Below are 27,604 nucleotides of genomic sequence, written 5' to 3' on the forward strand. Positions count from 1 at the left end.
AATATGTGAGTTCTCCAGACTGGCCCATCTGCCAGCTGGATAACACCAAGTGACCTTTCTTGATGCCAGGTGGAATAGAAGAATTGCTCAGTTCAAATTCAGACCCACAAAATCATGAGATATAATGGTCACTGTTTTATGTAACCTTCAAGTGTTGGGATGGTTTTTTAGGCAGCCTTAGATAACCAGAACACCTCAACTACATCTGATGTCCCCATTCCAGAGAGCCACTGCATGATTCTTCAGAGAACATCCTTCCAATCATCCACCCTCGTGGAAGAGGGACCGTGGCCACTGTGCAGTGTTGGGAATGCTGACTGCTTCTTGTACAGACTTACAAGAAATCGTCCTGGGTTTAGTCTCACCTACACACCCACTTTCAGACACATCCAGTGCAGCAAACTCTCCTATCCCGAGAAATCCTACTGTCATGTTGCTTCTCGGTTTTCCCTACTCCTGGTTTGGAAGTCGGCTTTCTGAGGTCTGTTAAGTCAGTTATCACCTGTCCACGTGCTTTCCAGGTTCCAAACTCTTATTATTTTTCCTCTCTTGTTCCCTTGTCCTTGTGAGATTTTTAATTTTTTTTTATTTAAAAAAGTGGTTTTTTTAGGGGGGTGGGGTGGGGACAGAGTCTCACTCTGTCACCCAGGCTGGAGTGCAGAGGCATAGCTCACTGCAGCTTCAAACCCCTGGGCTCAAGTGATTTTCCTGCCTCAGCCTCCCCAGTAGCTGGGACTAGAGGCGTGCGTCACTAGGCTTGGCTAATTTTTTTTTTTTTTTTAAAGAGACACGGTGGGTGGGAGAGAGAGTCTCATTATGTTGCCCAGGCTGATCTCGAACTCCTGACCTCAAGCCATCCTCCCACCGCGGCCTTCCAACGTGCTGGTGTTACAGGCGTGAGCCACAGCACCCAGCCCTATCTTTAATTTAAAGGCTCCTTGGAGTGGAATTTCAACAATTATATTAATTTTTTAAATACTCTTAGATCAGGTTTCCTGGAAACAGAGCCTGACCCTAGGATTCTTGTGCAAGTGCTGTAGTGAGGGTATTCTCGAGGGAAGCCTCCGAGTAAGTGAGGGAAATAGGATAGGCCAGAGGGAGAAACTGAGCAAAGATATGGTTTCTGATGAAGTTTATCCTCAGTCTGATCCCATGGGAACTCTGGCATATGAAGGGTACCACAGATTTATTCCTGGCCTTTTATAAGCTAAAAAAGTTAGCCTCTGGCCATGGCTTCCTCAGTCTGGTCTGAGCGCAGATGTCAGCAGATGGGGGCAATGAAGGGGCAGTGACCTGGGGCTGGATGCACCCACCTAGTAAAGGTTATTTACGCGGGGTGCCAACGCATCTACTTCATTCCTAAACTTTATTTTTTTCATGTAGCTTAATTTTTTCTTTCTTTTTCTTTTTCTTTTTTAGGGACAGGTTTTCGCCATGTAGCCCAGGATAATCTCCCAAACTCCTAGCCTCAAGCAACCACCTGGGCCTCCCAAAGTGTTGGGATTACAGTCTGAGCCACCTCACCTGGCCTAATTGTTGCTTGTAAGGGATGCAGTGTCTCTCTAATCTTGCTTAAGAAATGAATTATCTGTATTTCATTTTTTTTCCTACTGTTTGACCTTTAATTTTTTGTTTTGTTTTGTTTTTGTTTTTGTTTTTGTTTTGAGACAAGGTCTCACCCTGTCGCCCAGGCTGGAGTGCAGTGGTGCAGTCATAGCTCACAGCAACATTGAACTCCTGGGTTTAGAGTGATCCTCCTGCTTCAGCCTGGCTAGTAGCTGGGACTACAGGCGTGGCTATGCACCCGGCTAATTATTTATTTATTTTTTGTTTTCTTTTCTTTTTTTCTTTCTTTTTCTTTTCTTTCTTCCTCTTTTTTTTTTTTTTTTTTTTTAGACAATGTCTCACTCTGTCGCCCAGGCTGGCGTGCAGTGGCGCAATCTCAGCTTACTGAGCCTCTGCCTCCCGGGCTTGGGTGTTTATCCCACCTCATCCGACTGAATAGCTGGGACTACAGGCGCATGCCACCACACCCGGCTATATATATGTTTTTTTTTTTTTTTTTTTTGAGATGGGATTTCACCACATTGGCCAGGCTTATCTCGAACTCCTGGGCTAAAGTGATCCACTTGCCCTGGCCTCCCAAAGTGCTGGGATTACAGGCATGAGCCACTGTGCCCAGCCTTAATTTTTTAAGTTATCATATGCAGATAAAAGAGGCAGAACCAGTTTTAGTATCCAAATCAGTCTGATCCTAAAACCCGTGCTCTAAACCATATTAAACCACCTTTTAAAATTACATCTTAATGAAATAATTTAATGTTACCTCTCCAGCTTTAAGGGTGCCATTAACCACTTAGATTTTGATGTGTCGGATGGAAAACACTCCCCAAACGGGCTATTCTCTGTTTTTTAAAAAAACTGAATTTGCCTATAGACTCAACGGATTCATTCTGCAAGCATTCACTACGTGGCGAAATCGGTGCTGGGCATGGGTGCAAAGACGACCTAGCCCTAGTTGGTGTCTTCAAGAGGCTGCGTCCAGCAGGGGAAGCAGATATGAAAACACAGAACTATTACAAGGGATGAGCGCCGCGCCAAGCCGAACCTGGGAGCTACGGACAGTGTCTAAACTTTAGTCACTCACAGGAGTACAAAGATCCGGGGCTGCTCCTAACTCCTACTCCAAAGCTTTCCTGGCCTGCTGGGCGCACAGGGAAGAGGGAAGTGCTGGAAACTTTTGGGAATGTGTGTTTTCATGTGAAAGAGGGGAATGAAATGTATCCTTCAGATTTCACTTTCTACTTTTCCGGCCACGGGCTCGGCACGACCTGCCGTTGGGAGACGAACGGTTTCCCGAGGTGGGGGGAAGCGCGGATTTGCCGCGGGACTCCGGCTTGGCGCGGAGCTGGGCGCGGCAGGCGCAGGGAGGAACTGGCGAGGTGGCCCGGGCTCGGCCCTCCGAGGGTGTGGAGCGCCCGGGAAACGGGACCCCAAGAATCCAACTGCTCCCACCCTGCGCGGCCAGGAGCGGGGCTGGCGATACTGGGGACACTGTCCAATCCGGGCAGGGGGCGAGGCCGGGGGACCGGGCGGGCCTGGGGAGCAGGCACGTGTGGAGGGCGGACCCGCCGGGGGTCGAGGCCTGCCTCTCCGAGAGCTCCTGGCGCGGCCGTCCCGGCCCGGGGCCCCAGGTGCGCTTCCCCTAGAGAGGGATTTTCCGGTCTCGTGGGCAGAGGAACAACCAGGAACTTGGGCTCAGTCTCCACCCCACAGTGGGGCGGATCCGTCCCGGATAAGACCCGCTGTCTGGCCCTGAGTAGGGTGTGACCTCCGCAGCCGCAGAGGAGGAGCGCAGCCCGGCCTCGGTACGAGGGGTAAAGGGGCTCCGGGCCGGGGGTCCTGGGCTCAGGGAACGGGGAGCGTGGCCCGGGAGCGTCTCGCGGGGATGCCCGGCTCCGCGCTGCACCCCAGAGTGGGTGCTCGCCGCCGGCTTGCGGGCAAGCCCGGGCGGCCACAGGGTGGAGGGGGCCAGCGGGCCCTGGACTCGCTCCGGGTGGGCGAGAGGGAGGCGAGCGCGGTGCTTAACCGCTGGCACCATCCAGGACATCCAGGGCCGCTTACACGGCTCAGGACGCGGGTCAGAGACCACGGCAGTTATTTATTCAGTCCATGTGCTAGGCTTTGCATCAAAAAGAAAGGACCGAGATAATCTTGCCTGTAGCTAACTCCTCCTAACACCTCTTACAGTTTACTTTTTAATTCTTTACTCCATTTAAGAAACTTACTCCTTTCTCCTAGATCCTTACCACTTTCTTACCTTCTCGTGTGTCTAATGCCCTCGGCACAGTGCCCGGCACATCGGAGTCTGATTATTATAGGGTCCATGACTTGAGTTGGCTGGTGGCGCAGTCTCAGCATTTTGTCATGACTTTGACCAGCTGGAGACTTTGGTGCCAAGGAGGAAGGCTTCTCAACCATTTACCGGCAGAAGTGACCCCCGGGGCAATGCAAGTCTTCTGAGCTGACAGAGCAGAGTGGGTCCTGCATAACTCGTGCTTTACATGGAACTGGGCATCTGCTCTCTCCTGCTGACAGTGGGAAGGATAGATAAGGTGTCCCTCTCCAAGTTATCCATTCTCCTGCCCACCAGTCCATGACACCCCACCACCCCCTTCCACTCCCTACTGTTTGCCCTTTAATTTTTTGTTTTGTTTTGTTTTGAGACGAGGTCTCACTCCTGTAGCCCAGGCTGGAGTGCAGTGGCTGGATACAGTTCACTCTGCCTCCCAGGCTCAGGTGTTTCACCCACCTCAACCTCCTGAGTAGCTGAGACTACAGGTGCATGCCACCACGTGCCTATAGTCTCAGCTATTCAGGAGGTAACTGGTAACTCTATTGATAACCAAACCCTAGATTTTTTTTTTTGAGATGGAGTCTTGCTCTGTTGCCCAGGCTGGAGCGCAGTGATATGATCTCTGCTCACTGCAACCTCCGCCTTCTGGGTTCAAGAGATTCTCCTGCCTCAGCCTCCCGAGTAGCTGGGACTACAGGCGTGTGCCAACACGCCTGGCTAATTTTTGTATTTTTAGTAGAGATGGGGTTTTAACATGTTGGTCAGGCTGGTCTTGAACTCCTGACCTCAGGTGATCCACCTGCCTTAGCCTCCCAAAGTGCTGGGATTACAGGCATGAGCCACCGTGCCCAGCGGCCAAACCCTAGGTTTTTAGTTGCCAGGGAATTCTCAGACACAGGTGGAAGAGCAAGTAGGAGAGGAAGTGGACAGGGATAAGAAAACGGATAACCCCATGACCCAAGAGCTGCTGACTCTCCAGAGCCCTATCAGGCCAAGGCCATCCTCATTCAGCTCATGTCAGATTTCTGTTGATTGAAGATAGAGACACAAGTACACCCCTGCCCCCACCCACACATAGACAGGCACAGACACACAACTACTGGATCAAGGGCTTCTGTGAATTTCCCTCCTAGATGTTCTTGCATTTGGTTAGGGATAATGTTTCTCTGCAAGCAATTTAGAGAGTAACCCGCACAGTCAAGCCATGTACCACTCCAGGCCTTGGTGTTTAAAGGGTGAGCCTCCTGGTCATCCCCAGGCTCATGTCCAGTGGCATGTTTCTTTGTTTATGTCCAGCCACTCATTTGTTTTCCTGAGCTCATTTATTATCTGCTTTTAGACTAAGCCTGCTTTTCTCCAAGGGAGATAAAGATGAGTGGCAGGCACTGGGGATTGTGGGCAGTGTGCCAGGGAGTACCTGAAGTTCCAGAATAAACAAGGGGTGGGGAAGCCTGGGCAACATAGCAAGACCCCGTCTCTACAAAAATTTTAAAAATTACTTGGGCATGGTGACACCCACCTGTAGTCCCAGCTACTTGGGAGGCTGGGAGGGAGTTTCACTTAAGCCCAGGAGTTCAAGGCTGCAGTGAGTTATGATCACACCATTGCACTGCAGCCTGGGTAATAGAGTGAGGCCCTGTCTGAAAAACAAACAAACAAACAAACAAAAACAAGAGGAGGAGATTTTCTTTGAGTGTCATTTTTACACAAATATTTGAAATTAAAAAACACTTTTTATACTAAAACAATCACAGATATATTTTGAAGTAGAATCCAAAAATTGTATACCTTTTAAATCTAAAACAAGAAACCTCAAAAACATTTTGCTTGGGATTTGAGCTGCAATTTGGTCCAAACCTAGCCCTTGAGGGTTTGTTTTCACTGCAATTAGGGCTACTTATGGAGGCAGTTTGATAGACACTGCAGTGTCCTCCCTGGAGCAACTTTGAGTAACACTCATCCTAGGCTGTCTTATCTAATCTTCACTTCAACCTGCAATGGGGTTATTAACGTTGGTTTACAGCTGAGGATCCCAAGGTTCCATATCATAATCCTTGGTCAAGTTCAGACCATTTGTGAACGAAAGCTTAAATCCAGCTGCCAGGATACAAAAGCCTGTTCTCTTATCCTCTCTGCCCTACCATAACTCCATCAGTGCTTGGTTCATAGTAATTTGGATTTGTGGCTTCGTAGATTGTTAACTAAATCTTGAACAAGTGTTTTCCTTTTTCTTATTTTCTTCTTGTCAAGCTGATATGAAATGGGGTTGAATGAACAAGAACTGTTTCAACTGGAAAGGGAGCACACTGCTGTTGTCCCAGCTACTTGGGAGCCTGAGGCAGGAGGATCCCTTGAGCCCAGGAGTTTGAGACTGCAGTGAGCTATGATTGTGCCACTGCACTCCAGCCTAGGTGACAGAGTGAGATCCTGTCTCTAAATAAAAAGAAAAAAAAATAAGTTTGCAGTGAGTGTGAGGGGTGCATGCTAGCCAGCAGCCCTAAATGCCAGAGGGGTTTGACATGTGGATAAGGGAATAAACTCGCTCTTTGAGGTGTTTGGCAGAGCTGGGTGGTGGGCTCTGGTTGAATTTGAGGAAGTAGTTTTTAAAACCCATAGGCTGGGTGGCCTTGATGTTGGCGAGAGCTCTGTCACTACAAGTTTAGGCAGAGGTTCACAGCCCTTTTCTGATGGAGCTGGGAAGGGTTAGCAGATTAAGCTCAGTTAACTTCTAAATCTATAGTTCCCAAACTTCAGGGTGCATCAGAATCACCCAGGAAGCTTGTACAATATGCAGATTCTGCTTATTTAAGCAGCTCCTTGGATGATTGTGATTCAGGCCTCACTTTGAGAAACTATGCTTTATTTTTTTTATTTTTTTATTTTTTGAGACAGAGTCTTTCTCTGTCACTCAGGCTGGAGTGCAATGGTGCCATCTCAGCTCACTGCAACCTTTGCCTCCCAGGTTCAAGCGATTCTCCTGCCTCAGCCTCCTGAGTAGCTGGGTCTACAGGTGCATGCTACCACACCCAGCTAATTTTTGTATTTTTAGTAGAGGTGGGGTTTCACCATATTGGCCAGGCTGGTCTCGAACTCCTGACCTCAGATGATCCGCTTGCATCAGCCTCCCAAAGTTCTGGGATTACAGGTGTGAGCCACCACGCCCGGCTGAGAAACTATGCTTTAGAAACACTTATATGAATATGTGCATACTTCATAAATTGAATAAAGCATTAATAAAAACATATCACCTTCCCAAGGAAACTTAGGTTTTGGTCATTATGTATAAACTCTAGGTAATGTGGTAAATGCTAAAACCTTCCTTCTCAAGGATAGTTCTTTTGTTTGTTTATTTGTTTGTTTGTTTTCGAGGCAGAATCTTGCTCTGTCACCCAGGCTGGAGTGCAGTCGTGCGATCTTGGCTCACTGCAACCTCTGCCTCCCAGGTTCAAGTGATTCTCCTGCCTCAGCCTCCCAAGTAGCTGGGATTACAGGCACACGCCACCATGCCAGGCTAATTTTTGTATTTTTAGTGGAGACGGGGTTTCACCATGTTTGCCAGGGTGGTCTCAAACCCCTGACCTCATGATCCACCCGCCTCGGCCTCCCAAAGTGCTGGGATTACAGATGTGAGCCACTGCGCCCGGCCAAGGATAGTTCTTTATTATACCAATCACATCTCCCTTGTGATTTGATTAACAGGTTTTTTTTCCCCTGCAAACTCACCACATAGTCTTATAGTGCTAACACCTCTAGAACAATGTAGAGCTCCAACTAAAGGTTTTTTTGTTTGTTTGTTGTTTAACTTAATTGAAACTGAATAGATTACTACATTAATTCCCTGAGGAATTTAGGATTTCTATCTAAGGCTTGTTGTTGGTTTTATCGGGAGTAATTTATTAGTGTTTGGTTTTGTTTGAACTGGACTGAGAGCTTTTGCTATGGGAACCTGAACCACCACCTTTGAAGAATTCTTTTTAAAGATTCAAGTTGTTTGATGTCAGTAAATTGCCATAATGCTTCTTGGTCCACACTGCTTGACGTGAAAAAACAGAGTGAATATTATATTGCAGCTAAGTGTCAGACTGTAAATTACTACGGAAAAGACCTTCTACAGCCTGGTCAACATGGAGAATTCTGTCTCTACCAAAAACAAACAAACAAATGAAAAAAAAAAAACTATAAAAATTAGCCAGGTGTGGTGGTGCACTCCTGTAGTCCAAGCTATATGGGAGGCTGAAGTGGGAGGATCACTGGAGCCCAGGAGGCAAAGGTTGCAGTGAGCCAAAATTGCACTACTACACTCCAGCCTGAGTGACAGCAAGACTCTGTCTCAAAAAACAAAAACGAAAAATCCTTCCATTTTCCTCCTCCTCCCCACGAAATAACTAACCCTTGAGGCCTAGAAGAAACACACAGAACAAGCAGCCTGACATGTAACAGAGCAGGAAGCCCCCCCATGTCCACCTCTACCTCATTTTGTCAAGTCTTCAAGAGACCTCCAGGCCCAGTCACTGTGAATTCATTCCTCTGGGTTTAGGCACTCACCTCCCCGCCACCCCAGAGAGGTAGCATATTAAATCATTAACAGAATCTAATATAAAGGGGCCCTGTGATTACTGGGAACAAGTTCTCCTGATTTATATGCGATTGAACCATATTCCCTGGAGTAGGTCCTTTAGAGCTATAAGCCCTTGCCATGATCAGCCCCCAGCATCTTCTCTCTTACTCCTCTACAGGGGACTTAGGAAAACATTTTCTGAGTCTTACCCAACTTTAGCTTCTGCTATTGCTACTTTTTGATGCTGTGCAAGCACCTGTTGACTCAGTGGTTCTCACCCTTCTTGGAGTCACAGACCCTTATAAGAATCTGACTGAAGCCATGGATCCTTTCTTGATAAAAATAAATACACACTTAACATTTTTCGTACAATTTCAAGGAGTTTATAGACACACTTCTAAACTCAGTCATGGATACAGGTTGAGCAATGTGTAATGAGTTGCAGTCAAAACTACACAAAATTGTTACTTTTTTAATTTTCAGAAAGGGGGTCTTGCTCTGTAGTCCAGCCTGGAGTGCCCTGGTGTAATCATAGCTCACCGTACCCACAAACTCCTGGGTTTAAGCAATCCTTCCACTTCAGCCTCTAGAGTAGCTGGGACTACAGGCATGCCCAGCTTATTATTATTATTATTTAAAAATTTTGCATAGATAGGGTCTTACTATGTTGCCTAGGCTGGTCTCAAACTCCTGGGTGATCCTCCTGCCTTGGTCTCCCGAAGTGCTGGGATTACAGGCATGAACCACTGGCCCGAAATTATTTAAAAATATTGTATAAAATTACTGTGGGGGACAAGAGAACGGATCCCCTTTGCCCTCTGAAGGTTTGCTGAAAAATCAACTCACAAAAGGAGATAATTAGAGAAAAGGCAAGCCAGGCGCGGTGGCTCATGCCTGTAATCACAGCACTTTGGGAGGCTGAGGCGGGTGGATCACGAGGTCAGGAGATTGAGACCATCCTGGCTAACATGGTGAAACCCCGTCTCTACTAAAAAAATACAAAAAAAATTAGCCGGGAATGGTGGCGGGTGCCCGTAGGCCCAGCTACTCAGGAGGCTGAGGCAGGAGAATGGTGTGAACCCGGGAGGCAGAGCTTGCAGTGAGCCGAGATCACGCCACTGCACTCCAGCCTGGGCGACAGAGTGAGATTCCTTCCGTCTCAAAAAAAGAAAAAAAAAAATGAGAGAAAAGGCACACATGCGGAAAATACATATATTATGGGGGAATATTAATTTTGCATTATTTTTCATTAATTTTACATTATATTAATATATTAATTATAAAATTATAACTATCTTTTATAAATTATATTACATAAATTATGTTAACTTGCATTATTAATTTTACATATTAATTTCACATTAATTTTATATTAATACATATTTTATGGGGGAATATTCATTTTCCCCCATATTATACATGAAGGAAAATCACAGAGTGAATTTACTTAATATTCCAGTGGGGTGCAGATGCTTGTATACCCTACTTCTTTTTTTTTTTTTTTTTAATACAGGGTCTCACTCTGTTGCACAAGGCTGGAGTGTAGTGGCATGATCGTGGCTCACTGCACCCTCGACCTCCCAAGCTCAGGGGATCCTCCCATCTCAGCCTCCTGGGTAGCTGGGACTATAGGTGCATGCCACCACACCTGGCTAATTTTCTGTATTTTTTTGTAGAGACGAAGTTTTGCCATGTTGCCCAGGCTGGTTTCCAACTCCTGGGCTCAAGTGATCCACCTGCCTCAGCCTCCCCAAGTACTGGGATTACATGCGTGCACCACTGTGCCTGGCCTACACCCTACTTTTTAGAGGAAAGAGAGTTGAGGAAGTGTGGATGTTTTAGGGAGGTGGCAACTGATGTTTGGGGGAATTCAGCTGGCTCGAAGAACATACAATGGCCCGGGACAGAGCCTCTTGGGCCCACAGAACAGACAATGGTTTGTGACAAAAGTCCATCCAGGTGTGTTGACAGACTTTTGTCTTTCCTACTACAATATGAATTCAGCTAATGAAAACTCAGGGAAGGGACTAGGGGTAATGGTTTCCTTTTTTGGTAGGTCCAGACTTTAGTCAGATAAGGGAACTTCAGAGAACAACTTTGGGAGAGACAGAGGATTGAGAGACAGGAGGTAGGAGGGGGGATGTCTTTGGTTCAGCATGTCAAAGCACCATATTTTGGGATATCAGTTTCTGAGCCCCAGCAGACATACACATTGCAGCCTTGTTTGTAGTAGCAAAATAGTAGAAACAACCTAAACATCAGTAAAGATCTGGTTAAATTATGGAACATCTATGCAGAGTAATACTATGTAGCTATTAAAAAATGGTGCAGGTTGATAGGAACTGATATAGAATGACAGTGAAGATATTTTTTAAAAAGTAAAGTACAGCTGTGTGTGGTATGCTACCATTTTGGTGTATAAAAATGATGGAGGCTCTCACACCTGTAATCCCAGCACTTTGGGAGGCTGAGGCAGGCGGATCACTTGAGGTCAGAAGTTTGAGACCAGCCTAGCCAACATGGTAAAACCCCGTCTCTTACTAAAAAAAAAAAAATAGCTAGGTGTGGTAGTGCACGCACATAATCCCAGCTTCTAGGGAGGCTGAGGCAGAAGAATTGCTTGAACACAGGACGGAGGTTGCAGTGAGCCGAGATCATGCCCCTACACTCCAGCCTGGGTGACAGAGCGAGACTCTATCTCAAAAAAAAAAAAGAAAAAGATGGAGGCTGTCTATATTCTCATATGCTTATTAGTGCATTAAATACTTCTAGGAGGATACACAGGAAAATTATAAGAGTGGTTGCCTGGGGAGGGGGAAGGAAAGTCTTACAGACTTGTTGTTATGTACTTATTTGTACTATTTGAATTTGTTATGTTTATGTATTACCAATTAATTAAAAAAAAATAGTGTTACAGATATCACCTGCCCATTGAACATTGTTTGTGAAGAAGGAGAATTAAATAGAAATGAAGAATGTATAATTATCAGATTTCCAACCTTAAAATTAACATTCGATCATATACTTCCTTATATGTGTACAAAGGACTAGCATGCAAGTATCCTTCAGTTTCCAATGAGATGAAGCAGCCACCGCTCATTCTTGCCGTGTGTTTCACTTGGGTAGCTGGTTCCAAAAGAATGTAAAGTGCCTCTAGTTGGATGGTGGAGAAAGTTCTGCTTTTGGTTTTGTTTTGTTTTTGTTTTTCTAAGACAGGGTCTCACTCTGTCACCCTGGCTGGAGTGCAGTGGCACAACAATGGCACACTGCAGCCTCAAACTCCTGGGCGCAGGTGACCCTTCCACCTTAGCCTCCCAGGTGGCTGGAACTATAGGCACGCGCTGCCACACCCAGCTAATTTTTTGTATTTTTTGTAGAGACAGAGTTTTACCACGTTTCCCAGGCTGGTTTCAAACTCCTGGAGTCAAGCCATCTGCCTGCTTCAGCCTCCCAAAGTGCTGGGATGACAAGCATGAGCCATGGTGCCTGACCTAGCTCTGTTTTTAAATGGTCTGATTGGTTCCAGTGTGTCTTTAGCTGCAGAAGCAGAGAGAGGAGGTAGATGGGATAAATCAGGGCCTGTAGACTAGGTAGACCTGCTAGGGCAGGGGCCTTTGTCAGAGAAATGTCTCCCAGTGATATCAATGGCCATGGGCACTGAGGGGCCTGACCTTGGCTTTGGAGCCTGGACCCCTATCTTCAGCCAGACTATGTCTTAGTCTGTGAGGGACCTGCCTCTCTCTGCTGGAGATGTTGATAGCTAATGTTCACCAAGTGTCTTCTATGATCCTGACCCTGTGCCAGACATCTGGTATGATATTTTATTAAATTTTCACCCATATTAGGTGGGTACTAGTATTATCATTGCCAATGTAAATGAGGAAACTGAGGCACAAAGGGGTTGAGTAATTTGCTCAAAGTTGCACACTGACGAGCTTCACAGCCAGGATTTGAACTTGTCAGTATGACTCTATATCCTATGCTTTACCACTCTGTGTAATAGGTTAAAAGTGGGGGAATCAGGCCAGCCGCAGTGGCTCATGCTTGTAATCCCAGGCTAAGCAGGTGGATTGCCTGAGCTCAGGGGTTCGAGACCAGCCTGGGCGAAACCCTTTCTCTACCAAAGATATAAAACAATTGGCCAGGCATGGTGGCACACTCCTGTAGTCCCAGCTACTGGAGAGGCTGAGGTGGGAGAATCGCTTGGGCCTTGGAGGCAGAGGTTGCAGTGAGCCAAGATCGTGCCACTGAACTCCAACCTGGATGACAGAGTGAGACCCTGTCTCAAAAAAAAAAAAAAAAAAAAATACAAAGTGGGGAAATGAGCAGAAAAAGACAGGGCTGGGAGATTAAGCTATGGGGATGAATTCTTTCAGAGGGGAAGGAGGAGAGCCTAAGTCCAAACCACTTGTCCAAGATGAACTTGATATTGATTTAGGTCATTCTGAGTATCTAGGGGATCCAGGTGAGGAGTGGAGAGCAGAGGCTGAATCAGGACCATGTGCTGCATCATGACTCTGGTGGCCCATCCTTCTGGGATCAAGACTTAGGGCAGCATCTAAAGGCAGGGGAGGCAGCTCAGAACCTTGGCGTAGGGTCTTCAAGAGGTAGGCAGGAGGTCAGTGGCCTCTGCCAAATGGGCAAAGGTGCATTTATTTATTATATATGTAAGTGGCGGGCACTAGAGATTCAAGAATGAAACACACTGACTCAGGGAGATAAGTAAATCAATAATTAAAAAATCATAGGACTGTATGATCAGTATAATAATTTGATATATATGTGCAGACTGCCATGGAGTAACAGAAGAGGTGCACCTAACTCTATCATTAGTGGTCACAGAAGGCTTCCTGGAGGAGGAAGGTTTATATTGAGCCAGGGCTGGAGAAGAAGGGCTTATGCACAGTTGTGGAGATGAGAAAGCTAAGCCAAAGCACACTGAAGGAATGGCATGTCTGTTACAGCAGGCAAGTCCCAGAGGTGGAGATGGAGGTTCCTTAGAAACTAAGTCCATTCTGTAGGTGTATGGGAGACAGGGCAGATGAGTATTGAGGGACAGGTCCTAGAGGGTCCAAGGATCCCATGTAAGGAACTGCTGGCCTGGAATATAAATCCCTACTTCCCTTTGCATCTGTTCCAGTGCCTGGCAAAGTTATGTAATAAATGTTTTCAGATAAAATGAAAGTGCTGGGTACCAGGAAGGAAATCAAGGCAGAGATTTAGCCTTGGAGAAACATGACTCCTTGCTTCCCTGCTTACCCTGTCCAGACCTCCAATATTCATCTTCGACATGGTCTCCTTCCCTGATTGACATAATCTGGGTCAGGGGCCTCTCCTACACACTCCTGACACTTTCTGTGATTTCCCCAGCATGGGAATGGGAATGTTCACACCTTATTATATCTGATCACATACCTGCCTCCTCTCTTCAGCTTTGAGCTCCACTGAGGGCAGGGACGATGCAGCCCCCTCTGGCTAGCACAGTGCTGCTGAGCACATACTCGGCCCTTGCTAGAAGTGTGCAGTATGAATGGACAATTTCCCATGGCCTAGAAAATTTAGTCCACCCTCTAGGCCTGGCCTGCCACAAAAATGATCCAGTTTTGAAAATTACTTCTGTAGCTCTTGCTCCGTTCATGGTGTCCTTAAACTCCCACTCAACTCCAAGCTAACTAGTCTTTTCCAAATAAGTCTTAACGTTCATAATCATAGCAGGAGCTTTGCTTTTACTGTTTACTCTGCTTGGAAAATTCTTTCCCTATTGAAATCCCATTATTATTCAAAGCCTAAGTCACGTGAGAGCTCTTTTAATTTCTTAGGTGGACGTTGTCCATCTTCCCCTACCCTGCAATTCGTAATAGTTCTCACATGCCGCTTTGTCTTTAAACTAGTTATGTACCTGTTCTATTTCTCTTAGATTACGTGCTTCTTGAGAGCAAGATCATGTCTCCTCCATCTTTCTCTTGCCATGCCTAGTATATGATAGGGGCAAAATAAATTTTAAGTAAGGACTATGAGTGCCTGCACACATAGCGAGTGGCAGTTTTGGAACTGGGGTCTGAAAACCACTTGCATAAGAATCAGGGCCTGGGCTGATTCTTATGAGGAGAATGCCAGGGTTGCTTATTTAAACTTGATTAAATGAAGTCTCTGGGGCCCACCCAAGATTTCCAGAGTCAAGGGTCCTCACCGAAAATCTATATTTTAACTGCTCCCCACGTGACTTTTGTGTACTTTTGAATTTGAGAACTTTCCTCAGGTAACAAGCTAGACAGATGCTGTACAATCGATATTAAGTAGAATCCTTTTGAAGCTGTAGCTCCAGACATCATGTCCTGACAACATCCAGGGCCAGGAGAAAGGGGGAATTTGGCTGGCTGACTCTGTCTTTTTAGCCTGGAGGAACTTCAAAGCGTCTTAGCAGGTTTGTCCTTATTTCTTTTTGGTCAGAAGTGGGTCACATGGCCACTCCTAACCCATTCATGGCTGTTCAAAGGGGGTTGCCTTGGACCACTTATTATTTCCTCCTGGGGCTAGCCCCACCTTCCTGGTTTACCAAACCCAATCTCCAAACAGAAAGAAGTTTCTCCTAAGGAAGAAGGAAGGTGTAGTGGAGGTTGACATTATTGCTGATTCTTGCAAAAAAGTCTGTGCATTGCAATAACTGCTACTATCCCAATTTTATGCCAAAATAAACCAGCTCTCATAGGTGGGGTTAAATCTGGAGGGCAGAACAGGGACTGGAACTTGGTTCTTGTTCTGGATTCTAAGCCTGAATGATCTTCATGACAGCCTATGCCAGCATCCATCTGTGGGAAGAGAATTTAATTTGAAGTTTCACAGATATCATGGAATATCAGATCTGGCCTACCAGGAGTAATGCATGTTTGCAGTGGATGGTTTTGAGAACTCTGCTGTTTAAATAATCTTTGGCAAACACAGTATTTCCTAAGTCATGTTTATGCAAGTGTTTTAAAAGTGTTATAACTTCCCCCATTAACATAACTTATCCCCGTTCCCATTTCCTCATACTTGATGTAAGGTCATGATTGGCGATCTATACTTACGAAATGCCCATGGTGTGGTTTGGGGACCCTTTCAGACATCAATAGTTTGAGTCTAGAATTATTACTATAGAACCAGGGTTCTCAAACCTCAGCATGTATCAGAATCACCTGGCGGGATTCTTGCACTTTACAAAGATTATTTATTTTTATTTTTTAGAGATGGGGGTCTTGGTATGTTACCCAGACTGGCCTCAAACTCCTGCACTCAGGGATTCTCCCACCTCAGCCTCCCAGTAGCTGAGATTACAGGCACAAGCTACCATGCATGGCCTGGAGGCTTCTTAAAACCCAAACTGCTGGATCCCATCCCCAGAGTTTAGGATTCTGTAGATCTAGGGTTGGGCCTAAGAATTGTACTTTGAACAAGGTCCCAGGTGATGGTGATGCTGTTGGTCTGGAAACCACACTTTTAGAACAAATGATACTGATCTGGGTTTATTGAAAAGATGATATAATAGGATTTTATCATGTGTACCACACACATCCTATCCTTTCCAGGTTCTTTTATGCTCCCTCCTAAGGCTGTCCTGGGGCCTTCCCCTCTGGCTGTGTTTTGCACAGAGGGATTCACCTAGCCTTCTGTATTTTGGTGACTCTAGGCTGGGCTTGTTCTTTGGAAGTGAGAAGGTAGAGTGAGGTCTATGTATCTTCCCTCCAGGCCTGGTTCATTGTCTGTATACGAAGGTGGCTCTAAATGTTGGTCTTGAAATTTTGGTTTCACTTTAAAAGGAATGAAATTCTATTAGATGGTACAGCATGGACAAACCTTGAAAACATGCTAAGTGAAATAATCCAGACACAGAAGGATAAATGTTACGTGATTCCACTTATATAAAATACCTAGAATAGTCAAACTCATAGAGACAGATAGTGGAATAGAGGTTACCAAGGGCTAAGGTGAGGGGGAAATGGGGAGTTACTGTTTCACGTGTTCGGAGTTTCTGTTTGGAATGATAGAAGAGATCTAGGAATAGATGGTGGTGATTGTTGCAAGACATTGTAAATGTTCTTAATGCCACTGAATTGTACACTTTAAAATGGTTAAAATAGGCCAGGAACAGTGGCTCACGCCTGTAATCCCAGCACTTTGGGAGGCCGAGGCTGGCAGATCACTTGAGGTCAGGAGTTGAAGACTAGCCTGGACAACATGGTGAAACCCTGTCCCTACAAAAATTAGCCACGCATGGTGGCCTGCACCTGTAGTCCCAGCTACTTGGGAGGCTGAAATAGTAGGATAGCTTGAGCCAGGGAGGTCAAGGCTGCAGTGAGCTGAGATCACACCACTGCACTCCAGCCTGGGCAACATGGTGAGACCCTACCTCAAAAAAATTTTTTTAATGGTTAAAATGGTAAATTTTGCTATATATATGTTACCATGATTGAAAAAATAAATCTTGCTTTTGTTATTCTTCTATCTCCCAGTGATGTGCTGAATTGTCCTTGTATCAGCCCCTGAGAGCTAGTTGTTAAATTTTTAGAGGTTTTGCAAGCTGATTGTTAAAAATAGCCAGCCGTGATTTAAAATTAAATTATATGAACTAATGAGTAAATAAGTTATATTGAAATATGAATATTTATAAGTAATTTGTATTTAAAACAATTCATCATTTCCTAATTCTTTTTCCTACCTTTTACCATTATCTATGCTCTCGAGGGTATTTATGTCTATTATATCTGTGTGGTGAAACTAGTATTAATGTGTAATGGGGTGCTACTGACCATCTACTCCCAACTCCAAGTTGAGTGACATCACATTAGTAACTTGAAATTGGTCAGGGTGCAAAGATTTACACCAAAAAAGTGGCTACACATCAGGGTGTCCTTTCCTTGGAGAGCTGGCTATTAGCTTTATCAGCATATCCCTGGCCTTACCTTGTGGGTTAGGGTTGGTGTAAGTTTGTAGGAATAAAACACCAGTCACTTGGAAGCTACCAGCCCAGCTTTCTTTAATTGAATCCTAACCCTTTCCAAATAGCCCTGCCTTGGGGCGTTTTTGCTGTGCCTAAAAAAAAAGGGTGGTGGCTGAGTTTAGTAGCAGGGGAAGATGAGTCACATAGTCAGCTAGTTACTTTTTAACCTCATGGGTGCCTTTCCTCAACTGTAAAATGAAAGGGGTGGGAGAAAAACTAGTAGAAATAAAGTAAGATCATTTTTCTAGCAATGAGAAAGAGATACTTTTTAAAAAAAGTTTTTATTACTGATCACAGCCAGTTACAGAGATTTCTTTGTTCCTTCTCTACTTGTACTGTTTCCCTTGACTAGCTTTAAAAAAAGCTTTTATTATGAACATTTTCCAATATACACCCAAGTGAGAGAATAGCAAAATGAACCAGACTTTTCTAACTATTGAAATATTATAATGAGGAATACAAAGGAAAAGATGGACAGGTATAATTTAAATTTTTTCTTCCAAATTTTGACTATACAAAACTAAAAGAAGAATATTAAATTGGAAACATACTTAGAATTAATTTTTGGTATAAAATATTAAAATTTATAATATATGCATAATGTATATGTCAGTAAAGCACCAAGATCCTAAAAATGGGCAAAAAATACACACCAATAATTCACAAAGAATACAAGTTTTAAAAAAAGAAAGATTCAGTGTTCCTACTACTTATTAAATTAATTAATTAATTATTATTTTTTTTTTTTAGACAGAGTCTCACTCTGTTCCCCAGGCTGGCGTGCAGTGGACCATCTCGGCTCACTACAACCTCCACCTCCTAATTTCAAGCAATTCTTCTGCCTCAGCTTTCCGACTAGCTGAGACTACAGGCACGTGCCACCATGCCCGGCTAATTTTTTTGTATTTTCAGTAGAGACGGGGTTTCACCATGTTAGCCAGGCTAATCTTGAACTCCTAACCTCAGGTGATCTGCCCGCCTCAGCCTCCCAAAATGCTGGGATTACAGGTGTGAGCCACCGTGCCCAGCCATTTTTGTTTTATATATATATATATATATATATATATATTTTTTTTTTTTTTTTTTTTTTTAGGTGGAGTCTCGCTGTGTTGCCCAGGCTGGAGTGCAGTCGCATGATCTCGGCTCACTGCAAGCTCTGCCTCCCGGGTTGATGCCATTCTCCTGCCCCAGCCTCCCTAGTAGCTGGGACTACAGGCACCTATCACCACGCCTAATTTTTTGTTTTTTTTTTTTTTAGTAGAGACAGGGTTTCACCATGTTAGCCAAGATGGTCTCGATCTCCTGACCTCGTCATCCGCCTGCCTCGGCCTCCCAAAGTTCTGGGGTTACAGGTGTGAGCCACCATGCCCAGCCTTTTCTGTTATATTTTAAAAGATAAATCCCAAGAAGTAGAATTCTTGTTGCGTGGTGCATACAATTTACTAATGGCCAAATTGCCCTCCAAAAGTACTGTCCAGGGCCGGGTGGGGTGGCTCACGCCTGTAATCCCAGCACTTTGGGAGGCCAAGGTGGGTGGATCACGAGGTCGAGAGATTGAGACCATCCTGGGCAACATGGTGAAATCGGTCTCTATTAATAAAAATACAAAAATTAGCTGGGCATAGTGGTGTGTGCCTATAGTCCCAGCTACTTGGGAGGCTGAGGCAGGAGAATCGCTTGAACCCAGGGGATGGAGGTTGCAGTGAGCCAAGATCGTGCCACTGCACTCCAGCCTGGGCGGCTGAATGAGACTTTGTCTCAAAAAAAAAAAAAAAAAAAAAGTACTGTCCAATTTATACTCCCCACCTGCAGTACAGGAGAGTATACCCAATATTGTGTCTTACTCTTTTTCATCTCTATCCCAGTGTAGTAAACATGAAAACAAATATTTGCAACCTCTGCCTCCTGGGTTCAAGCAATTCTTGTGCCTCAGCATCCGGCATAGCTGGGATTACAGGCGTGCACCACCATGCCCAGGTAATTTTTGTGTTTTTTGTAGAGACAGGGTTTCACCATGTTCGCCAGGCTGGTCTTGAACTCCTGGCCTCAAGTGATCTGCCCATCTTGGCTTCCCAAAGCGCTGCGACTACAGGCGTGAGCTACCGTACCTGACCCCTACTACTAAGGTTAAAAGGAGACCAAGCACAGAGGCTTACGCCTATAAGCCCAGCACTTTGGGAGGCTGAGGCAGGAAGATTGGTTGAGGCCAGAAGCTTGAGACCAGCCTGCTGGGCAACATAGGGAGACTCTACCTCTGCAAAAAAATTTTGAAAATTAGCCGGAAGTGGTGGCACATGCCTGTAGTCCCAGCTACTCAACAGGCTGAGATGGGAGGATTGTTTGAGCCCAGAAGTTCCAGGCTGCAGTGAGCTATGACTGTGCTACTGCACTCCAGCTTGGGTGACAGAGTGAGACCCTGTTTCTTAAAAAAATAAAAATGATAAGGCAAGTTAATAATAATAAGGTTCAATTTTACGCCTAAATATTAAATTAAGAATAAATAAATTGAGCAAGCAAGCTAACTTATGGGTGGTTGGGCTTTGGATATCCTTATAAATTTTGAGGACAACTAGAAATGTTCATAATTATCAGATATCACAAGGAATAAGCCAACAGAAGTAAGTATCTACAAGGCTAATTGTAAAGATTATAGGCCAGGCACAGTGGCTCATGCCTGTAATCCCAGCACTTTGGGAGGCTGAGCCTCGCAGATCACCTGAAGTCAGTAGTTCAAGACCCGTCTTGGCAACATGGTGAAACCCCATTTCTACTAAAAGTGTTCTAAAAATTAGTTGGGTATGGTGACGCATGCCTGTAATCCCAGCTACTCAGGAGGCTGGGGCAAGAGAATCCCTTGAACACGGGAGGCGGAGGTTTCAGTGAGCCAAGATAGCACCACTGCACTCCAGCGACAGAGAGAGACTCTGTCTCAAAAAAAAAAAAAAAAAAAGATTATAATTCTGAGATAGAAAATCTGAACAACCAATAGTAGGGACATTGAGTAAATTATATCAGTTTGATGGATGACTATAGTAAAATAGTAAAATAATAAATATGGTGATTGTATAAAATATAGAAAATTAAGTAGAAGAGTAGAACACAAAATTATATACATACTGTGATTACAACTGTGCTGAAACACTGGAATAAACAGAAAGTAGATGGTAAGTTTACATTACTTTAAAAAATGTCCTTTACAGTGTTTAAAGTTGATTTAATAATCTACAAAATAAAATGAAAGGGTGAAATAGATGATTGCTAAAGGCTTTCCAGTCTCTAAAATTCTATGAAAGTTAATCATTTGTATTTGTAAGCGTGGAAAGATTCATTATTTTCAACACTGCAGTGAAAAATTCTACCTCTACCTAGATTCTGCAGGGTTTGGAAAACAAGTTTATCAGATCACACAGTTTACTTTAATAATAACAATAATAATAACAGCTAGAGGGAAGGAGAGGTTAATAGTGATAAATAAAACCAGCACTGACTGTCCAGGATGCATACTTCATTGTTACTGCCATAAGATCCTGAGGCTGCTAAAACAAAACCAAAAAATAATTTTTTGGCGTGTACATATATTATCTTTAAAATTTAAAATTAAATAAAGATTAATATTAAAAAGACAATTAGTATTTTGTTTTATCTTTTTTTTGAGACGGAGTCTGGCTCTATCGCCCAGGCTGGAGTGCAGTGGTGTGATCTTGGCTCACTGCAAGCTCCACCTCCTGGGTTCACGCCATTCTCCTGCCTCAGCCTCCCGAGTAGCTGGGACTACAGGTGCCCGCCACCATGCCCGGCTAATTTTTCGTATTGTTAGTAGAGACGGGGTTTCACCGTGTTAGCCAGGATGGTCTCTATCTCCTGACCTCGTGATCCACCCGCCTCGGCCTCCCAAAGTGCTGGGATTACATGCATGAGCCACCACGCCCGGCCTGTTTTATCTTTTTTTGTGATTTTTTGAGGTATTAGTATTACATTTTCTATGACCTCTGCAGTTAGTCTTCATTTCTTTTAGGAAGGATTCCATTTTTATGAAAAAACAATTTCATTGAAACCAAACAGTAGTGAAAAGAGTGATATTTAAATATGAGTTGGTAAGTCGTTTTTGAATACACATATGGTTTAAAAATCTAAAATCTCTTGACACTTGATTAAATAGAGAGAGGGAGGAGAAGGATGGTCATAGAAAATGAATCTTGCCCTTGATGTGATGAGTATGGAATATTTAAGCCAAAATCTGTAGTCTCAAAGGATTTATTGATGTTTTATTGCCAGCCAGTCTTCTTCCCTGTTTAGAATGCTATGTTTTTCTGCCAAACACTGAGGATACCTAATAGTTTCCTAAGTGTTTCTTCTGAATAATTAAGTGGATTATTTTCAGAGATAGACTCTTCTTTTAAGTATTCTGGGGCTTTGTTTTTTTCCCTTGTTTTCTAGCATTTTGACATAGGTGCATATTATGTTTTTCTTTTTCTTTTTTAGCAAATGGGGAAATGAAGGCACTGAGAAGATAAATAAACAAGTTTTTGTGTGCGTGATTTAAAGAGATAGTCTGACCATTCATGTAAAGTGTTCAGAACAGTATCTGGCCATAATAAATGTTCAATCAACATTAGCTATAACAATTATTATCAAATAAGATAAAATATGTGTAGAGTTTGCTATGCAGTAGAAATACAAAGTGAGGCTGAGTGTGGTGGCTCACACTGGTGAACCACTTTGGGAGGCCAAGGTGGGAGGATAGCTTGAGCTCAGGAGTTCAAGGTCAGCCTGGGCAACATAGTGACACCTCGTCTCTATTAAATTAATTAATTAATTAATTAATTAAAAAATAAATAAATATAAAGTAAGCCACAAATGCAAGTTTGAATTGTCTAGTAATTACATTCAAAAAAGTAAAGAAACAGGCAAAATTAACTTAATAATATAGATATATTTTACCCAATATACCCAAAGTAATATCATTTCAACATGTAATCAATATAAACATTATTAATGAGATATTTTATAGGCTTCTTTTCGTGCTGTGTTGTAGCAGTCTGATGTGTATTTTAAACTGATAGCACATCCAAATCTGAATGCAAATTTTTCATCAAATGTCTGTATTTAGATTTCATGAAATGTTCAGTTTTCACATCAATTTACATGCTCAAATTATTTCAAACATACTTCAAAAATTTTTCCAATAACTAAATCAAGTACCTAAAATAATTTTCCTTTAATATTTGCATCCACATGGAAAAAACTGATTCATGTTTTTTAAAAGAATTTCACTTCGAAGTGAAAAGGCTCTCGCTTTTAAAACTGCATCTTTCCAAGTTAATTCACGAACTCTCTTGTCAATTCCATCTCTTGTTCTTTACTGTGCCAGCCGTGATGCTTCTGCTACTCCACTCAATTGTACATCAGTAACGTGCCTTTGTTTTAAATCTTAAAACGTAGCTGGGTGCAGTGGCTCACGCCTGTAATCCCAGCACTTTGGGAGTCTGAGGTGGTAGGATCGCTTGAGCCCAGGAGTTCAAGACCAGCCTGGACAACATGGTGAGACCCCGTCTGTGACAGAGCAAGATGCTGTCTTAAAAAAAAAAAAAAAAAAACTTAAAATGTGTCCATAGCTACTTTTTAACTAGAAAATAATTTAATTATGTTAAAATAACTCAAACTTGTGCTGTCTGTAAAACTTCTTCAAATAAATACATTAAAATATTGCATCAGTGCCTAGAAAAATATCAAAGTGAATAAATCTGTTGGCACCAACTAGATTAGTGATTACGTGTAATACTAGAAAAGATGCCACATGCTTGACATGTGCCCTACACATACAATGGTTGAACAATGTAGCCCTACCAGAGCAATAAAGCTGTGTGTAATGGGGAAATATTTCATACTGCATCAATTTCAAAATTTAAATATAATTAAAATGAAACAAAATTTAAAATTTAGTTTCTCAGTCTCTCTAGCCACTTTCAGTTGCTCAGAAACATGCAGCTGGTGGCACCATATTGGGGTATAGAGACAGTCTGTCAAAAGACAGGGTGAGGAGCCAGGCGAGGTGGCTCATGCCTGTAGCAACAGCTACTTGGGAGGCTGAGGTGGAGAATCACTGGACCCTAAAAGCTGGAGGCTGCACTGAGCTATGATAGTGCCACTGCACTCTAGCCTGGGTGACAGAGTGAGACCCCGTCTAGGGGAAAAAAAAAAAAAAAGACATAGTGAACAGAACACTTTAGTGCCACCACGTGCACCTTTCTGTGTTAGCATCAGCTTTACAGCAGAGGAGGGATTGTAATGGGCCTGGTCTAATTCCCAGTTGCTAGCTGGTTTTCCCTTTGTTCTTCTCTGCTTCTTTTTCTGTCACAAATGCCTGGTTCTCTGGGCAAAAATAAATAAATAAGTATGTATTTATGTATATTAAAAATATAACTCCTAGCATGGATTTCTGCTAGGGTGCTTCTCACTGATCATGCCTCCTTGAATCTACTCTGCCACCATGATTCGCGCCCCAACACCTCTCGGCCTGCTTTGGATGAGGAGGGCCAGCTATGGGCCTACCTCACAGCTCCTCACCTCAGGGTAGGGTGTTCTGAATAGATCCCCACATCAGACAGAGCTGCTAGAGAGGCAGACCCCATCTCCCTATTGTCTCATAAACACACACACTCACTCACACACTCACACACACTCATACTCACTCACACTCACATACTCTTCATCCAGCTCCATCTGCCGTAAGTCCGTTTCACTTCCTCTCAGCTTCTAACATTATCTCATGACCATCCTAGTCTTTTCCATTGTGTCATGAGTTTCTCCCTTTTCTTCCCTGTGCCTTCACGAGAATCTTGAATGAGAAACTGGGAGCGGCTGCTGCATCAGAAATAGTAAGTTCCTCACGTGAATCAGAAATCCACTGTGGAAGAATTTTACAGTTCTGTTTTTGTGCTCTTCTGCCGGAATCAGCTTGAATTTTGGAAAGATGTGGGGACAGAACCCTGCCCTGGCCCAGAGAGGGAATGGCTGATCCAAGGGGAGGAGGAGTTGCCCACAGAGCTGGAACTTGATGACTTCGGGGCGCGGGAGGCCCCAGAACAAAGTGAGACTTTGAAGAGAGCAGTGCTTACTCTCTGCTCAGTTCCAGATCTCCGAGGTGGAGCCAGTTGAAATCTGTGTAGGAAACAAAGCTGCTTTTCTGGTTCATCTGGAAAGAGAGGGCTTTTTGTTTTTTCCCCACGTGGGCAAATAGAGGTGGTGATGTTGTGTTTTTAGAGCCAGAAGGAAAGTTCTGGGCTGCATAATGCCTATATTCCAGGCAAATAGAACCCAACAAGGAAAATGGTCTAGCTTTATCACTGACTCACTGCAAATCCCTTCCCTCCTGTACTTTAATTTATTCATTTTCTTTTTTTAAATGACAAACTGATATTATTTTTAATTTTTAAATACTTCAGTGACCACAGGACATAATACTTTTTTTTTTTTTTTTTTGAGATAGAGTCTCGCTCTGTTGCCCAGGCTGGAGTGCAGTGGCGTGATCTCGTCTCACTGCAACCTCCGCCTCCTGGGTTCAAGCAATTCTCCTGTCTCAGCCTCCTGAGTAGCTGGGATTACAGGCGTGCGCCACCACGCCTGGCTAATTTTTATATTTTTAGTGGAGATGGGGTTTCGCCATGTTGGTCAGGCTGGTCTCAAACTCCTGACCTTGTGATCTGCCCTCCTCGGCCTCCCAAAGTGCTGGGATTACAGACGTGAGCCACCGCACCTGACCTTAGTTTTTTTCTGACGTGGTCCTCTTCTTTTATCTCTAAGACTTATGATTGCTAAGACAACAAAAGATACCATCGTTACTGGCCAACCTTGGAATTTGGTCTTGGGAAATGGAGGCCTGTAGTTTGTAACCCATAAGAAGAGACTGAAGGGGCCTAAGTGCAGATGAGAATCCCTGGTGATAGAACAGACAAGAACTGGAGATCAATGCCAATAGTTTGTGATGAACGTCTTGGGGTTCCTGTGTGATCAACCTGTTGGGATTTCTGTATTAGTTTCACACTCACCTGTAATAGTTTACCAATGGTGTTTCTGAAAGATGAACATGAAATTAAGCGATCTTTCATGTTTCCTCGAGGGACTTTGATTCTAAAATAACTCTGAGAACAGATCAGGAAACATGATATAACCCTAACCATGCTTGACACATTTTCTCTTTAAATAACAGTTATACTTGAGGAGAGGATTTTACTCATGATGCTGTGCAAAAGCCACATGGATTCCACTGGTTTGGACTTTGCCTTAGAGTGGGCGTTGCTAAGTGATGGATAACAGCAGCGTGCTTCCCTGAGAGGCCACTGTGAGCCTCTTACTTAGGTTGAGAACTTGACCTCTTACTTAGGTTTTATACCACCATAAAATGCACCCATCTTAAGTGGTTAGTTTGATGAGCCATCGTTTCTTTTAAGGAGTTAACATTTAAAATCAACTTTTAAAAATTGTGGTGAAATAAATACACATGAAATTTTACCATCTTAAACATTCTTAAATGTAACAGTTCAGTGACATTAAGTATATTCACATTGTTTTGCAACCATCACCACCATCCATTCACAGAACTCTTTTCATCTTGTAAAACTGAAACTCTGTACTATTTAGCTGTAACTCCCTCTTCCCTTTCCTCCAGCATTATCATTCTGCTTTCTGTCTCTATGAATTTGACTACTTTGAGTACATATAAGTGGATTCATGTAGTATTCATCCTTTTGTGACTGGCTTATTTCACTTAGCTTAGTGTCCTTAGGTTCATCAGTGTTATAGCATGTGGCAGAATTTCCTTCCTCTGTAAGGTTGAATAATATTCCACTGTATATATTCCACTGTATATATGTGTATACACACACACACACACACACACACCACATTGTGTTTATCCATTTATCTGTTGAGGGACACTTGTTTTGCTTCCACTTTTGGCTATTGTGAGTAATGCTGCTGTGAACATGGATGTGCAAACATTTCTTCGAGTTCCTGCTTCCTGTTCTTTTGGGTATATGTATACCTAGAAGTGGAATTGTTGGACCATATGGTAATTCTATTTTTAATTTGTTGAGGAACCACCATACTGTTTTTACGGTGGCTGTACCATTTTACTTTCTTACCAGCAGTGTAGAAGGGTTCAAGTTTCTCCATATCTTCACCAACATTTGTTGTTTTCTGTTGTTCTGTTTTGAATAGTAGCCATTCTAATGGGTATGAGTGGAGTTCAGTGAGTGTTGGCAGATGTATATATCCGGGTACACTACCCCAATCAAGGTAAAGAACATTTTCATCACCCCTTGATGTTGCCTCATGCTCCTCTACAGTTAGTATCCCTTCTGCCTCACCAGTGCCCCCAATCACTGGCCCCAGACAACCACTTTTGCACTTTCTAGCACTATATATTAGCTTTGTTCGTTCTAGCGTTTCATGTAAATACTTTGTTTGGCTTCATTTAGCCAGAATAATGCTTTTGAGGCTTATCTAAAACCCTAGTCTAAAATCAATTGTGGATGGAAAATAAACCGCAGTGTGACTGGAGTTCGATACTATGCTAATGGTTGGTTAGAGAATACCATGGGTCTCAGAAAGAAAGTGAGAGGAGGAGAGGGGGGCTGAGGAAGCAGGAGAGGGCCCTTCCTAGCAATGAGGCCTTCAGGAAGCCCAAAGAGCCATAGCAATTAATGCCAGTCCTATGGCTTCGGGGGCAGCCAGTTCAATTAATCAGCAGGCATTTCTTGCAGGCCCGCTATGTGCAAGGCACTGCTAAAATTTAGAAACAGGAAAGTAGAGGCCCAGGATGAGAATTTGGAGAGGGAAGATGCTGCCTTAGAATTCATACAACTGGATAATGCTTTTGTCAGAGGACAGACACACACAGAGGACCTTACGGACTTGGTGACCAAAAGAACCACAAAGGAATCTAGTTTGACTTGTTGGTAAATGTGAAAGCCTGAACTCTATACGCCACAGATGTTTTTCATGTGGGTAGATTTGGTAACCCCACCTTAAACAGCTCACTAAACAGGTAATGCTAGAATACTGTAGATGTGATAAAGATTACTTGGAGAGAACAGTAATAGAAGAATAGCTAACATCTGTTGAGTACACAATGTCTGCACCATTCTAAGTACTTACGTGATGTAATAACTTGATTAATTTTTGCAGTTGTCTTATAAAGGAACTATTGTTA

General features: G+C 43.5%; 1 protein-coding gene across 11 annotated transcripts in view, besides 3 other annotated features; it reads left to right on the top strand.

Annotated features, from left to right (window-relative positions):
* The window catches only part of ANXA4 (annexin A4), a 183,305-nt gene that overhangs the window by 95,000 nt on the left and 60,701 nt on the right, over window positions 1–27,604 (top strand). For 3 of the 11 annotated variants that reach the window (NM_001153.5, NM_001320700.2, NM_001320702.2), the window contains exon 1: window positions 3,327–3,368. The exons of 4 other annotated variants lie outside the window; for them this stretch is intronic. The gene's annotated coding sequence lies outside the window, so the exon portion shown is untranslated. Of the gene's footprint in view, window positions 1–1,419; window positions 3,369–14,727; window positions 14,839–24,226; window positions 24,270–27,604 lie in introns of those variants that run through there. 4 more of the 11 variants (XM_047444082.1, XM_047444081.1, NM_001365496.2 and 1 more) reach the window with 4 other exon arrangements.
* Window positions 2,966–3,145: a silencer, noted in NCBI's record as "silent region_11598". NCBI's record gives its function as "represses an Ori minimal core promoter by ATAC-STARR-seq in GM12878 lymphoblastoid cells {active_cell/tissue: GM12878}" and the evidence as "EXISTENCE:reporter gene assay evidence [ECO:0000049][PMID:35858748]".
* Window positions 3,356–3,595: a silencer, noted in NCBI's record as "silent region_11599". NCBI's record gives its function as "represses an Ori minimal core promoter by ATAC-STARR-seq in GM12878 lymphoblastoid cells {active_cell/tissue: GM12878}" and the evidence as "EXISTENCE:reporter gene assay evidence [ECO:0000049][PMID:35858748]".
* Window positions 23,826–23,885: an enhancer, noted in NCBI's record as "active region_15977". NCBI's record gives its function as "activates an Ori minimal core promoter by ATAC-STARR-seq in GM12878 lymphoblastoid cells {active_cell/tissue: GM12878}" and the evidence as "EXISTENCE:reporter gene assay evidence [ECO:0000049][PMID:35858748]".

The sequence above is a fragment of the Homo sapiens genome, chromosome 2, assembly GCF_000001405.40.
Source record: "Homo sapiens chromosome 2, GRCh38.p14 Primary Assembly".
Taxonomy (NCBI): domain Eukaryota; kingdom Metazoa; phylum Chordata; class Mammalia; order Primates; family Hominidae; genus Homo; species Homo sapiens.